The sequence below is a fragment of the Homo sapiens genome, chromosome 17 (assembly GCF_000001405.40).
Source record: "Homo sapiens chromosome 17, GRCh38.p14 Primary Assembly".
Taxonomy (NCBI): domain Eukaryota; kingdom Metazoa; phylum Chordata; class Mammalia; order Primates; family Hominidae; genus Homo; species Homo sapiens.
The window spans coordinates 20,279,533-20,293,558 of record NC_000017.11 but is presented as its reverse complement, the minus strand read 5'-3'; the positions used below and the strand labels follow the sequence as shown (position 1 = coordinate 20,293,558).

The window sequence follows — 14,026 nt, the reverse complement described above, 5'->3', positions numbered from 1 at the left end:
GGTGCTGCCTCCCTCCCACAGGGTGGACACTGACCACTGTTTCCTCCCTCTGCCCAGATGGCCAAATGCAACCCTACAACAAGTTAACTCTCTGACTGCCCTGGGAAGGTCATTTAGGGTGTTTCTATCAGAATCAATTTGTAACTGAAAAGGAGAGGCAGGATGAAGAGAAATAATGCATGACATTAAGATGGAATAAGAGAAGGAGGTTTGATGGAACTCTCCTCAAAGTGTGTGTGAAGAGGTTCTGGAGAACATGCATAGGATGGAGATGTGTACTAAAATATGGTACCATGTTTCCTGTGAAGTTTCCTTAGGGTTCTGGAAGCAAATAATCTTAGGCAAAAAAAAAAAGCCTATAATCTCATTTAGGTTTTTATCTAGATTTCTTGAGGGTTATTTCAAGCTAGCCTGACCCTTAGCAATAAGGTTGGTCAAATATCTCATTTGAAACTGAGGTCAAAAGAGATGGTGTCACATGTCACATGTAGGGTTTACCTGAATGACATAGATACAAAGAATCTGTCCCTATCTTCCCAGCAAACCTCTTCTCAGTTCCAGTCAGCATCCAGGATGACCCTGGTGGGCCCCAGAATGTCCCCCAAAAGCACCGGCTTTCAGGAAGACAGTGTCCTGGAGTCTGCTTTGCAGTTACATTTCCCCAGCGAGGAGTATCTAGCTGAAAGCAACACACAACCATAATAACGTCTCTTCATCTTGGCTTTCACGACACAAGCACAGTCAACTTTCAGCAGTCGCTAAGCACACCAGCATTACGTAAAAGCCTGAGGATGCCTTTTGTTGGGAGGGCCCCATCTTGTAACTTCTGGGGCCACTGGGAAGCTGATCCTGTGGACTCTTGGCTTCAAAGTCTCTTTGGGTTCGACAGCTACCTGATGAAACCTGGACACTGCTTTAGAAATGGGGAAATGCTTTCATTTTACACTTTCTGAAGAGGTTTGTAGGTTACAGAGGCTGAGGTGAGCGGATCACCTGACGTCAGGAGTTCGAGACCAGCCTGGCCAATGTAGTGAAACCTCAACTCTACTAAAAATACAAAATTAGCTGGGCGTGGTGGCTGGTACCTGTAATCCCCGCTACTCAGGAGGCTGAGGCAGGAGAATTGCTTGAACCTGGGAGGTGGAGGTTGCAGTCAGCTGAGATAGCGCCACTGCACTCCAGCTGGGGTGCAGAGATTAACTCCGTCCCCCCCCCAAAAAAAAAGATGAAAAAACAGGCGGTGGTGGGGCAGTGGGGTGCCCCATCCAGTTCGCTGGAATCATTCAAACCAGATGTTATGGACATCAAACCCTGGGAAGGTGAAAACAAGGAGGGCCTCTAACAGAGGGTCTGGTTTCTGCTTTCCTCTTGGGAAGGGCAGAGAGCACTGTGGCCCCTGCCAGTACTCAGCTCCCCCTTCCTTCCTCTGCCACGCACAGGCTGGCTGCGACCCTATCTCCAAACCCATCTCTTGCACTGCTGACCTGGAAGAAAGCAAGCCAGGCTTTAGATCCAGAAACCCGTTTTGACGTTTACATTATGCTGATCTCAAGGCATCTGTGTACACAAGGCAAGTGCTTGCCCTGCCTGGAAGTGTTCTTTCCCAAGAGCAATGCTGACGGATACTAGATCGTTTCCAACAGAAAGACCACATTTTAAATAGAAAACCAAATGCTCAATGAGCAAGACCAAAGTCCTTTAAGTATGAGTCCCTTGGCTGGGTGCGGTAGCTCACGCTGTAACCCCAGAACTTTGGGAGGCCAATGCAGGCAGATCACTTGAGCTCAGGGGTTTGAGACCGGACAGGCCAACATGGTGAAATCCCATCTCTACTAAAAATACAAAAATTAGCTGGGTGTGGTGGCACATGCCTGTAGTTCCAGCTACTTGGGAGGCTGAAGCAGGAAGATCGTTTGAGCCCAGGATGCGGAGCTTGCAGTGAGCCAAGATCATGCCACTGCACTCCCGCCTGCATGACAGAGCAAAACCGTCTTTTAAAAAAAAAATGGTGGGCTGGGAAGGGCAGTGGCATTTGCTGAGTGCCTGTGATAAGCCTGTCACTGTGCATTTTCTCATTTACAGCCATGCACGGTGACTAGTGTTATACCCATTTTACAGATAAGAAAGCCAGAACAAAAAGAAATATTTCTAGCGCCAGAGTCAGGGCCAGAACGCCAGCTCCATTTGCCTCTGAAGCACATGTCCCATTTGCAGTGGACACTGCCAGCAGACCCTGCTGAAAGAGGCCCTGCAGCTTGCTCAATTCATGTCTTCGACAAGAGTGAAAGGAAAGGCTGAGGGTGGGAGAGGGCAGATTCTAGAGGAGTGAGTGGTGAAACTTTGATTCCTTCTTGTCAGTTAAAGAAACTAGAACCCCATTTTCTGAGGCCAGGCCAGGCCCACCAGGAACAGACTCTGGGGTGGATGGCACTGCTCTCTGCACTGGTGAATGCTACCGCCCCAAGGAACTTGTGCATCCAAACGGGCCAGGTTCTCCTTCTCACCCTTCCTCGCTCCCTTCCCAAATTCACTTTAACACTTGCTAAATCCTTCTTTTCCAAAAACATGAGAACATTATATACACACTTACATCTTCTATCATTTCTGATACAAAACAGCATTTTTCTTCATCTGCAAAATCTTCAGAAGCATTTGAGAGGTCAGATGGATCCGGAAGCTCAACAATGCCACCATCTCCCACAACCAAGAAGGCGCCCATATGCTAGTTCATTGAACACTGTCAAGAATAGTTTTTGGGCTCAGAGTGGTGGCCCAGAACTTTGGGAGGCCAAGGTGGGCAGATCACTTGAGGTTAGGAGTTCGAGACCAGCCTGGGCAACATGGTGAAACCTCACGTCTACCAAAAAAATTTAAAAATTAGCCAGGCATGGTGGTGTGTGCCTGTAATCCCAGCTATTCAGGAGGCTGAAGAGGGAGAATTGCTTGAACTCAGGAGGCAGAGGTTTCAGTGAGCAGAGATCATGCCACTACACTCCAGCCAGGGCAACAGAGTGAAACCCTGTCTCAAAAAAATAAATATAAAATACATAAAAATAAAAATCAGACAAGTGTGGTGGTGCATGTCTGTAGTTGCAGCTACTTGGGAAGCTGAGGTGGGAGACTCACTGGAGCCCTGGCATTCAAGGTGGCAGTGAGCCATGATCACACCAGCCTGGGTGACAGAGTGAGACTCTCTTTAAAAAAAAAAAAAAAAGTTATTTTTTTGTTTTCCTTGTGTAGGGTCCCTGCCAGTCTTCTCTGTATCATTTCCATGTTGGTATGTATGTTGCCAAAGTGACCACTAGTTCTTGATCTGTAACTATAAATGGGTCACAGGTTGAGACTAAAGTCTGGCAAGATCAAAGCCATGGTTGAAAAACCAAACAAAATGACTGAAACCCGCAGGAGAGCTCTGAGAGTCCAGTGCCTCAGGACAGACTGCACTGGTGGTGCTCTGGGGGCTCGGCCGTATTTGAATGCAGATCCTGGCACTGCAGCAGTGAGACCACAGAGAAACAACACAGGAAAAAGGAGAATGTGTACCATCTTAAAAAAGAATTATTATAAAAGTCCAAATCTAGTCAGGTAGACAAGCCCAAGCCCATGATCAGGAAACACTCTTCTTCTCTCTAAAAAGTTTCCCTGCCTCAGACTTTTTATTGCTGACGTTGGCAGAGGTAGAGGCCACCCAACTATGGTTTGTGACATAACACTCGCTCCAAGAACATTATACTCCTAAATAAAGACGTTCCCTTTCATCTCAGAGTGGAACAACCCCAACCGAGTCCCCTAGTTGCCATCTAAAATTATCTCTAATTCTAGCTGAGCATCAGGAGCACCAGCAACTCCCAGTCCAGTGCAGCTGGGGGACAATTCAAAGCCGTGTGCACTGTCATCCACAACGGCTGAACTAATTTACATTCCCACCAACAGTATAAAAGTGTTCCCTTTTTGGCCAGGCACAGTAGCTCACGCTTGTTAATCCCAGCACTTTTTGGGAGGCCTAGGCGGATGGATCACTTGAGGCCAGGAGTTTGAGACCAGCCTGGCCAACATGGTGAAACCCCATCTCTACTAAAAATACAAAAAATTAGCCAGGCATGGTGGTGTGCACCTATAGTACCAGCTACTTGGGAGGCTGAGGCAGGAGAATCACTTGAACCCAGGAGGCAGAGGTTGCACTGAGCCTAGATGGCGCCCCTGCCCTCTAGCCTGGACATCAGAGCAAGACTCCATCTGATATGGTCTGGCTGTGTCCCCACCCAAATCTCAACTTGAATTGTATTTCCCAGAATTCTCAAGTGTTGTGGGAGGGACCCAGGGGGAGGTAACTGAATCATGGGGGCCAGTCTTTCCCATGCTATTCTCGTGATAGTGAATAAGTCTCACAACATCTCATGAGTTTATCAGGGGTTTCCACTTTTGCTTCTGTCCTCTTTTTCTCTTGCCACCACCACCATGTAAGAAGTGCCTTTCAGCCAGGCACGGCGGCTCATGCCTATAATCCCAGCACTTTGGGAGGCTGAGATGGGTGGATCACGAGGTCAGGAGTTCAAGACTAGCCTGGCCAAGATGGTGAAATCCCATCTCTACTAAAAATACAAAAATTAGCCGGGCACGGTGGCAGGCGCCTGTAATCCCAGCTACTCAGGAGGCTGAGGCAGGAGAATCACTTGAACCCGGGGGGGCGGAGGTTGCAGTTAGCCGAGATCGCACCACTGCACTCCAGCCTGGGCAACAGAGTGAGACTCCGTCTTGGGACAAAAAAAAAAAAAAAAAAAAAAAAAGAAGTGCCCTTCACCTCCTGCCATGATTCTGAGGCCTCCCCAGCAATGTGAAACTGTAAGTCCAATTAATCCTCTTTTTCTTCCCAGTCTCAGGTATGTCTTTATCAACAGCATGATAATGGACTAATATACCGTCTCAAAAAAGAAAAAAAAGTGTTCATTTTTCTCTGCAACCTCGCCAGCATCTGTTGTTTCTTGACTTTTTAATAATCGCCATTCTGGCTGGTGTGACATGGTATCTCACTGTGATTTTGCTTTACATTTCTCTAATGATCAGTGATGTTGAGGTTTTTTTCATATATTTGTTGGCTACATAAATGTCTTCTTTTGAGAAGTGTCTGTTCATGTCCTTTGCCCACTTTTTAATGGGGATGTTGTTTTTTTTTCTTCTAAATTTGTTTAAGTTCCTTGTAGTCCTCAAAGATCTAGAAGAAAAACCATTTGACCCAGCAATCCTATTAGTGGTTATATACCCAAATGAATATAAATCCTTCTATTATAAAGATACATGCACACGTTATGTCCACTGCAGCACCATTCACAATAGCACAGTCAAGGAATCAACCCAAATGCCCATCAGTGATAGACTGAATAAAGAAAATGTGGTACATATACACCATACTATGCAGCCATAAAAAAACAAGATCATGTCCTTTGCAGGGACATGGATGGAGCTGGAAGCCCCTTTCCTCAGCAAACTAGTACAGAAACAGAAAACCAAACAAAGTATGTTCTCATTTATAAGTGGAAGGTGAACAAATGAGAACACATGGACACATGGAGAGAAACAACATACACTAAGGCCTATTGGGGGTGGGGGAGGGAGAGCATCAGGAAGAATCACTAATGTATGTTGAGCTTAATACCTAGGTGATGGGTTGATCTATGCAGCAAACCACCATGGCACACCTATGTAACAAACCTGCACATCCTGCACATGTACCCTGAAATTTTAAAATAAAAGTTGATTTAAAAAAAGAACTAAAATAATTAAATTTCTCAGAAATAAAACAAAAAAAAAAAGCTATGTGTACTTAGGCCTTACTCAGACATAAGGCCAAGCAGCAACCTGCAGAGCCCTGTGCACCTCAGAGGCTGCTCTGCTGCTGTGCTTACAACAAAAGTGGCTTCCTTTCCAGTAACTGGGGTGTGCTTTCATGAGCTCTAAGGTGTATTTTCAGGAACGAGGGGGTCAGTATCAATGTGGCACAACTGGTATCATTCACACTTTCCACATGGATGGAAGATGACTTGCAGAAAAGAGATGAATTGAGTTATGCTTTATCAGAGCTCTCAGTTCATTCAAAGCCATGTCATTTTTTTTTTTTTTTTTTTTTTTTTTTTTTTTGAGACGGAGTCTCGCTCTGTCGCCCAGGCCGGACTGCGGACTGCAGTGGCGCAATCTCGGCTCACTGCAAGCTCCGCTTCCCGGGTTCACGCCATTCTCCTGCCTCAGCCTCCCGAGTAGCTGGGACTACAGGCGCCCGCCACCGCGCCCGGCTAATTTTTTGTATTTTTCGTAGAGACGGGGTTTCACCTTGTTAGCCAGGATGGTCTCGATATCCTGACCTCATGATCCACCCGCCTCGGCCTCCCAAAGTGCTGGGATTACAGGCGTGAGCACCCGCGCCCGGCCAAAGCCATGTCATTTAAATTACTGTTCCCTTGCAGACCACGTACAGAGGCTATGAGCTATGCAGTGTGTTGCACCCTCATCAGCAGAGCCCAGGGGAGGCAGGGGAGGCTGCTGACGGCAGCCGATGGCCTAAGGAGTGCAAGGGGATCAGTCCTCCAGGAGCCAGGACTTTCTTGGGGCTAGCACAGTTTCCAGGAGCTCCTGCAGCCTGGGCCCTGGGGGCCAGTTCGTGGGGGTTGGAGGGAAGAGGCAGGCAGCAGCGATGGGATCATGCCATCATTCACCAGTCTCTTGGGGGCTGGTTTCCTGGACTGGAAAAGCATCCAGCCCTGGGCAGCCAGGAGCTAGGCAAGGTCTGTGGGTCCCAGGTAGGTGGGTTAAGATCCAGTCCCACTGCAGTGACCAGAGAGGTCAAGGAAGCCATGGCAGCAAGGTACTCGTGTGGGCAGGGCCAATATACTGGGCACCAGGCAGAAAAACAGCAGTTTGTGGGACATGGGTGGCCGGGCAAGTCCTAGGCACCCCAGGGAGCAAGCTGAGAACTCACTCCAGGACCTACCCCTGGATGGAGGTGAAAAGTCTCATTTTTGGCGAGGGGATGACTAGAGCTGGCACAGGCCTTAAAGTAGAGAGGGGTGAAATCTGGCTGAGCTGCTGCGCGACAGTCCTCAATGCTCACAGAAGCAGCCAAAACTAAGAAGAAACACAGACCACCCCAGGGATGTTAGTATGGTAAGGTCTTTTCCCAAGGACCACTCATCTGAGACTCAGAGGTTCATCAAAAGAACCATGAGAAGAAAATGAAAAGCAGCCCAGCAGGCATTCTGTAGGCTGTTACCTTCTGGTATTTTCCTTGATATTCATCCCTGAATAAAACGGACTAGGATCATTGTTATCCTTGAGTGGAAGCTGGTAACCAGGGGAACATGAAGAGGATTCTGGGGGGCTGAATGCTGTGCTTTCTAGACCTGGGTCACCTCGTGAGCATCCCCCATGCACATGTGTATGTTATACCTCAATTAAAAAGGAGGTCATGTGCGATGGCTCACAAATCCCAGCACTTTGGGAGGCCGAGGCAGGAGGTGCTTAAGCCCAAGAGCTCAAGACTAGCCTGGGCAACATGGCGGGACCCTGTCTCTACAAAAAATGTAAAAATTAGCCAGGCATGATAGTGCATGCCTATAATCCCAGCTACTGGGAAGGCTGAGGCAGGAGAATCACTTGAGCCTGGGGAGACTGGGGCTGCAGTGAGCCATGATCAAATCACTTCACTCCAACCTGGGTGGTAGAGCGAGACCCTATCAAAAAAAAAAAAAGGAAGGAAGGAAGAAAGAAAGGGAGGGAGGGAAGGGGAGAGAGAAGGAGGGAGGACAGGGAGGGGGAGGGAAGAAGGAAACAAGGAGGGAAGGACCCTGATTGTCTTAAGGGGCTAGAGTGTGGTGTCCACTCTGAACACTAACATTTGGAATTTATGTACAAGATTTTTGGGGAGGAAAAAGTGGAGCAAAAACAGAAAGAAACTTGCTGATTATTTTTACCCAGGGAAATGCTAGTTACTAATTACAAATTAACTTTTCCCAGGATATAAATACTTTAGCAATATTTCTGAGTGGAATATGGAACTTTTTGATGAAAGTCTTAGATGTTTAATAAAAGGGTAACAGTCCAACCATCTCCAAAACTGGTTATAGGTCTCTAGGAGGGTTTAGGAAAAAAAAAAAGTAAGATACAGAATTTTGTCCACCTCAATGAAGCAAAAGTCATTTGAGAAAAATGAAGACATTGAATTACACATGGGAAGGTAAAAATCTAATTTTAGTGCATATCCAAGAATATCTTCCCAGAGTGTTGAGGTTGTACTAAAGTTGCAGACGGGGGAATGTAGAGACAGCACTCATGAATAACGCAGCAGGACAGGGCAAAGCAAAACCACACAGCCTGCGCATTTGCTTCTAGAAGATGCTTTCGCTTGCCTTGGTTGCCTGGTTACTTGCCTTGCCTTGGTTATTAACATTTGGTAAAAAACATCAATCACTGGGGGGACAAGCTGCAGGGTACACACTGAATTGTGTACTGTGCTAAATTCAATCGAGGACACAGCTGGATTCCGTGGCTGCATTCCCAGTACTTCTTTACCTTCACCAAGGACCTCCAGGTGCCTCCATGAGGTGTCTGTGAATGAACTGACTCTGTGTACACTAACTGCAAAAGTCAAAAAGAAAAAAGCAAAGCTTCTTGGGAAAAAGGCAGGAGACTGATTAGAAAATGCTGTACATTCATTCTTGCAGGAACCAGCTGTCTCAGGCTCATGGTGATCTAAACAGTCTCACTCCCTGAATCTCTCTGGGGTTTTCCCAATTGGTCTTTATTATCACAGCTGTGGAATCAGATTGAGTTTTTAGTTTTTGGAAAGTTTAACAGTTTACAGATCACAGAGGATAAAAGCAGCTCATTCCTCACTGGAGCTCAGCATGTGCAATAAAAGCCCAGGGAGGATCACACTTACTTTGAAGGTCTGGTCAGAGAGGATACAAAGCAAATGCACACATAACATTTCATGTGAAATCTCAGCAAATGCAGCCTGTGCTCCTTCCCTGCCGTGCATTCAGTGTTCGGTCCTTGCCTGGGACAAGTGTACACACACATCCAGTTTTAGTACCTCTGTTCTGATCTCAGACTATCTGGTAAACCTCGAGTGGCCTCGTCCTGCACACGGACAGCACAACCCTTGGCCATGACTTGTGGAGACCTGCACATAGACTCCTGGGCCCCCTATCTTCACAGCATCCTCCTTTCTGATGCCCCATTCCATAAAATGTGCAGCTTTGGCTGCCCCTCTCTGATCACCGCCTCCTCAGCCAGTGGGGCTGCTGTGCTCTGCTCAGAGGCCAGCTCCCTGCACTGGGAAGTGGATATTGTTCCCAGGCAGAGAGCTGGTGAGCTGGCCATCACTGCAGGAGTTTCCCTTCTCCCAGGGATTAGTCTCGCATCGCTTGTTTCCTAGAGATGAGTTCCAGATGGCTAAGCTTAAAAACCAAAATTATAACATTATAAAAAGAAAAATATAGAAGAATAGGCTTATAATCCTGGGGAAAGAAAGCCATCTAAGGCACAAAATGCAAAAAGTATAAAGGAAAGGATTAAGAAATCTGACTTAAAGAAAGTTTCTATATGACAAAATTAAAACCAATATATGTATAGCAAACGACTAATACTCAAAATATATTCCTGTAATCAATAAGAAAGAGGACAGACATGGTAGCTCATGCCTATAATCCTAGCACTTTGAGAGGTTGAGGCAAGTGGATCGCTCGAGGCCAGGGGTTTGAGAACAGTCTGGGAAACATGGCGAAACCTCATCTCTACCAAAAAAATACAAAAATTAGCCAAATGTGGTGGCATGCAGCTGTAGTCCCAGCTACTTGGGAGGCTGAGGTGGGAGGACTGCTTGAGCTCAGGAGGCAGAGGTTGAGGTGAGCCAAGATCGTGCCACTACACTCCAGCCAGGGTGACAGAGCAAGACTCTGTCTCAAAGAAAAAGACAAACAACTCAAGTAAAAATTGGCAGAGAAATGAACCTGTAATGTACTGAAGAGGAAATACAAATAGTCTGAAATGTATGAAAAGATGTTCAGTCTCACCAGAAAATAAAAACGGTAAAATATCATTTTCACTCATCAAACTGGCAAAAATTAAAGACATTTAATTCATAAGGTTAATGAAGATGTTATTGTAATCCACTGTTTCGGGGTGGTTTGCTCTACAGCTACAGACAATCAGAATGCCTGAAGTGACTTCTTTTATATTTGCTGCAAAGGGCAAGTCACATCTCTGGCAGCGGAAAGCTACCTTTTGTCCCTCATGGAATAACTCTGGGATTCCTTGGAATGCCTTTCCATTTCTGCTCCTGTTCATATTATTGCTTTAATCTTTTTTGTTTGTTTGTTTTTCTAAGATAGGGTCTGGCTCTGCTGCCCAGGTTGGAGTGCAATAGTGTGATCAGGGCTCACTGTAGCCTCAATCTCCTGTGCTCAAGTGATCCTCCCACCTCAGCCTCCAGAGTAGCTGGGACTACAGGTGGAAGCCACCATGCCTGGCTAATTTTTTTTTTCATCTTTTCTTAGAGATGGGGTCTCACTATGTTGCCCAGGCTGGTCTTGAACTCCCGAGGTCAAGCAATCCTCCTGCCTCAGCCTCTGAAAGTGCTGGGATTACAGGCGTGAGCCACTGCACGCACCCAGCCAATTATTTATTTTTCTACTTTAGATTTTATATGGCTCATTATCTCCCAAATCAAATCTGACAACTTCTACTTATCTTTTAAGATTTAAAAAAATGCAGACCTCCTCAACCCGTTCAAGTCAGTGTCATTACTATTCTGAAACATGAGCTGCAGGGGCCATGCTCATGGCTGTTTCCACTGTGTCTTTGCTTCTGCAACGCTACGGTGGGCAGAATGACGTGTGAAGGGGGTCTCCTCTGCCGTGGCTTCATTGCACCTTTCCAGTCAGGCAGGGCAACCCACTTTCATCAGCACTCTTTCTCTAAACTTTTTTGGCTCTTCTTAGTTGCTTATTCTTCCAGGTGAATTTTTAATTACTTTGTTAAGTTCAAGAATAAAGAAAGTCTGTTGGGATTTTAATCGGAATTGCATTAAATTTAGAGACTAATTTGGAATAATTCACTTTTTAAATGTTCCTCCCACTCTTTTATCCACACTGAAAGCACCGAGGGTTTGAGACTGCGAAAATGGAGACAGCGGCCACGGTGAGCTGGTGCAGGAAGCAGCGCCCTTCCCTTTACTCCTCTGTGGACAAGAGCCTTCCTATGGCGAGAGGACGGCTGTGTCCCAGAGATGTTCAGGCAGATGCTGCACAGTCCCTCCCTGGAGACAGAATCACAGAAGATACACATCTCAGGAGCAGCTGGGGCCCTGTCTTTCTTGCTTCCTCCATTTTCACTTGACAAACACTCAGAAGTCCCCACCCACGGCGTTTCTTCCCCGAGGTTAACTGGCTTTGGCATTGTGACACAGGGTCTGGTTGCCTTGCAAGCATGGGCCTGCGGCCAACACCTCCTGCCCCCTGGCTGGGTCCACTTCCTCCAGCCCAACAGCAGTTCCACTGGCAGTGCTAGCCTCACACAGCACCCGAACGCAGGCGAAGCCCCGCGGCTCAGCAGGGGCCTCCCAGTTCTTCCTTGGCGTCCTGAGAACAGGTCTTCTCTGTGCCCTCACCTCGGATCCCAGATGATTCCCTGCCATCTTCTGACCCCTAGGACCATGCTCAGGCCTCTGGGGAAACACTTCCCTGGAATTTTCTTTCCTCTTCTGCCTTTCTGTTAAGTTGGCTACCTCATTTTCATTAATTCCACTCTTCCTCCTTGCTTGCTGCTTCTAAAAAAGGTCATGGTCATGCATAGCTCTGCTGGCTCCTCTCCTCCTGGAGTCACCCAGGCTCAGTGGACTAGCAGCCCCCTGAAGCCCCATTCTGCTCCTTGCTGAGTGTTTACCTGTGTCCAGCAGCTCCCTCAAGGAAATGTTGGAGAAATCTCCTCATGAGCCATCTGCACAACTCACTAGCGGTTCAGCCCTCGAGGCTGGGAGTAGAGTCCACACAAACATTTCCAAAGCCCTCCATGTGTGAGGCGCTGAGGAGTACACCGCAGGGAAGCATGGTCCTACCATGGTTCACCCATGCTGTGGTGCAGGCAGGCAGGACAGCCTGAGCCTGGGGTGTGCAGGAGGCAGGATGAACTCTGGGGCTTCAGGAAAGGGCGAGCCACTGCAAGATTCCTCATGGAGTTCTGGGAGCCCAGGAGACAAAAGTCTGGTTCTTTCTTTCTTTTATAGTAAGTCCTCACTTAATGTTGGGAGGTTCTTGGACACTGTAACATTAAGTGAAATGGTGACACGCTGTATAACAAAACCAGTTTCACCGCAGGCTAATTGACATGGGCCAGAGTTGAGTTCCCATGGCTTACAGCACATGGTTTCACCCAAAGCCGCCATTTCCAGGAACCGACCGGCCATGCTAAGAACTGAGCTGACATCAGATTGAATGAAGCCCCTGGCAAACGAGAATGTCCGATGCTCTAAAGAGGAACAAACCAAACCAAACTGTGACCCGCTCCTTCCTCCTCACACTAACGCAGCTGAATATGACTTTAGGAAAGTGACTCAACTTTTCTGCCTTAAGTTTCCTCATCTCTCAAATGAAGTGGCTAGATTAAATTAGTGGTTCTGAAATAAACAGTTATGAAACCCGTTCTTCCAATGATGCTTCTGCAGAAGGTTTTTTAAAAGTAGGGATTGCAAACCACAAAATCCGGTGATCTTTTCTTTAACATCCATCTGTCTATATTCTACCTTGCATTGCCCCATACGACAGCCACCAGCCCCATGTGGCTGTTTAAATTAGTTAAAATTAAATAATATCAAAATTCCATTTCTCAGTCACATTAGGAATCTTTTAAGTGCTCAGCAGCCACCTGTGGCTACAGGATTGGCCAGCACAGATATAGAACATTCCCATCATCACAGAGGGTTCTACAGGACAGTGCTGTCTTGCACTTATGCAAACATGCATGTGTATTTCCCCCTTTTATGCAGATGGTGGCATGTTCTGCACCCTTACCAAGATATATAGAGCTAGGTCCTTCACGACATCTGGATGAACAGTTTCAGTGTAGAGACCAAGGGACTGGATGCTGGGCCCAACAGCAGGAGTTCAGTCCCAGCTCTATCCCTTACTAGGGTGTGACTCTGAGCAGTCATGGAGCCTCTTGCTGCCTTAGTTTTGTATTTGTAAAATGGATACAAAATGCCTAACTCATGAGATTGTGGTCAAGATTAGATGCACTTAGACAATGTCGGTCACGTGGTAAATATTTTGTCACTGCTAGCTTTACTTCCATCACCATTCGCTACTTTGTTCTCTGACGACACATGCAGGTCCATCACATGGATGGAGACAGCAGCCCGTTTAGGTTGTTTCCAGTTTTCTGTTATCACAAACAGTACTGCGATAATTGTCCTCCCATGCACCTCTCTGCACACAGGTGGAATCCATTTTGATGGATTCTGCCAAATTGCCCTCAAAGAGGTTCTTCCACCTTAAACTCCACCTCCCAACAACACACATGCGACTATGTTCCTCCACCACACAGCACGTGCCCTTTGGTGATGGGCTGATTTCACTCACTGAAGCATCCTCAGACCCATCTGTGTTGCAGCGTGTGTCAGCCACTCTGCTTCTGCATCCATCTGTCCACCTTCTCCTCTCCATATCCCAACCCCCATCCTAGTTCAGGAGTTGTGGTCTTCCTCATGTCTTCCAAAACCACAGCTCTGGCTGGGAGACCACCTGTCACCATGGTTTTTAAACCCTTTCTGACTCTGTAGTCAGCAGAATTAGAATTGTACTAAGAAAATAATATGCAATAACTGAAAAATTGATTATAAGGAATTTTGTTCCAAGATCAAGTTTAGTTTATACTAGAAAAGTAACCTTCAAGGCTGGGCGCGGTGGCTCATACCTGTAATCCCAACACTTTGGGAGGCCAAGGCAGGCGGATCACCTGAGGTCGGGAGTTCAAGATCAGC

General features: G+C 46.9%; 1 protein-coding gene and 1 pseudogene across 25 annotated transcripts in view, besides 1 other annotated feature; both read right to left on the bottom strand.

The window, feature by feature from the left end:
- The window catches only part of SPECC1 (sperm antigen with calponin homology and coiled-coil domains 1), a 309,668-nt gene that overhangs the window by 25,468 nt on the left and 270,174 nt on the right, over window positions 1-14,026 (bottom strand). The gene's annotated exons all lie outside the window — the stretch shown is intronic.
- RNU6-1057P (RNA, U6 small nuclear 1057, pseudogene) lies at window positions 3,201-3,302 on the bottom strand (annotated as a pseudogene).
- Window positions 11,536-12,036: an enhancer, noted in NCBI's record as "H3K4me1 hESC enhancer chr17:20184836-20185336 (GRCh37/hg19 assembly coordinates)". NCBI's record gives its function as "activates a minimal SCP1, AML or CMV promoter by ChIP-STARR-seq in naive H9 embryonic stem cells {active_cell/tissue: H9 hESC(naive)}" and the evidence as "EXISTENCE:reporter gene assay evidence [ECO:0000049][PMID:30033119]".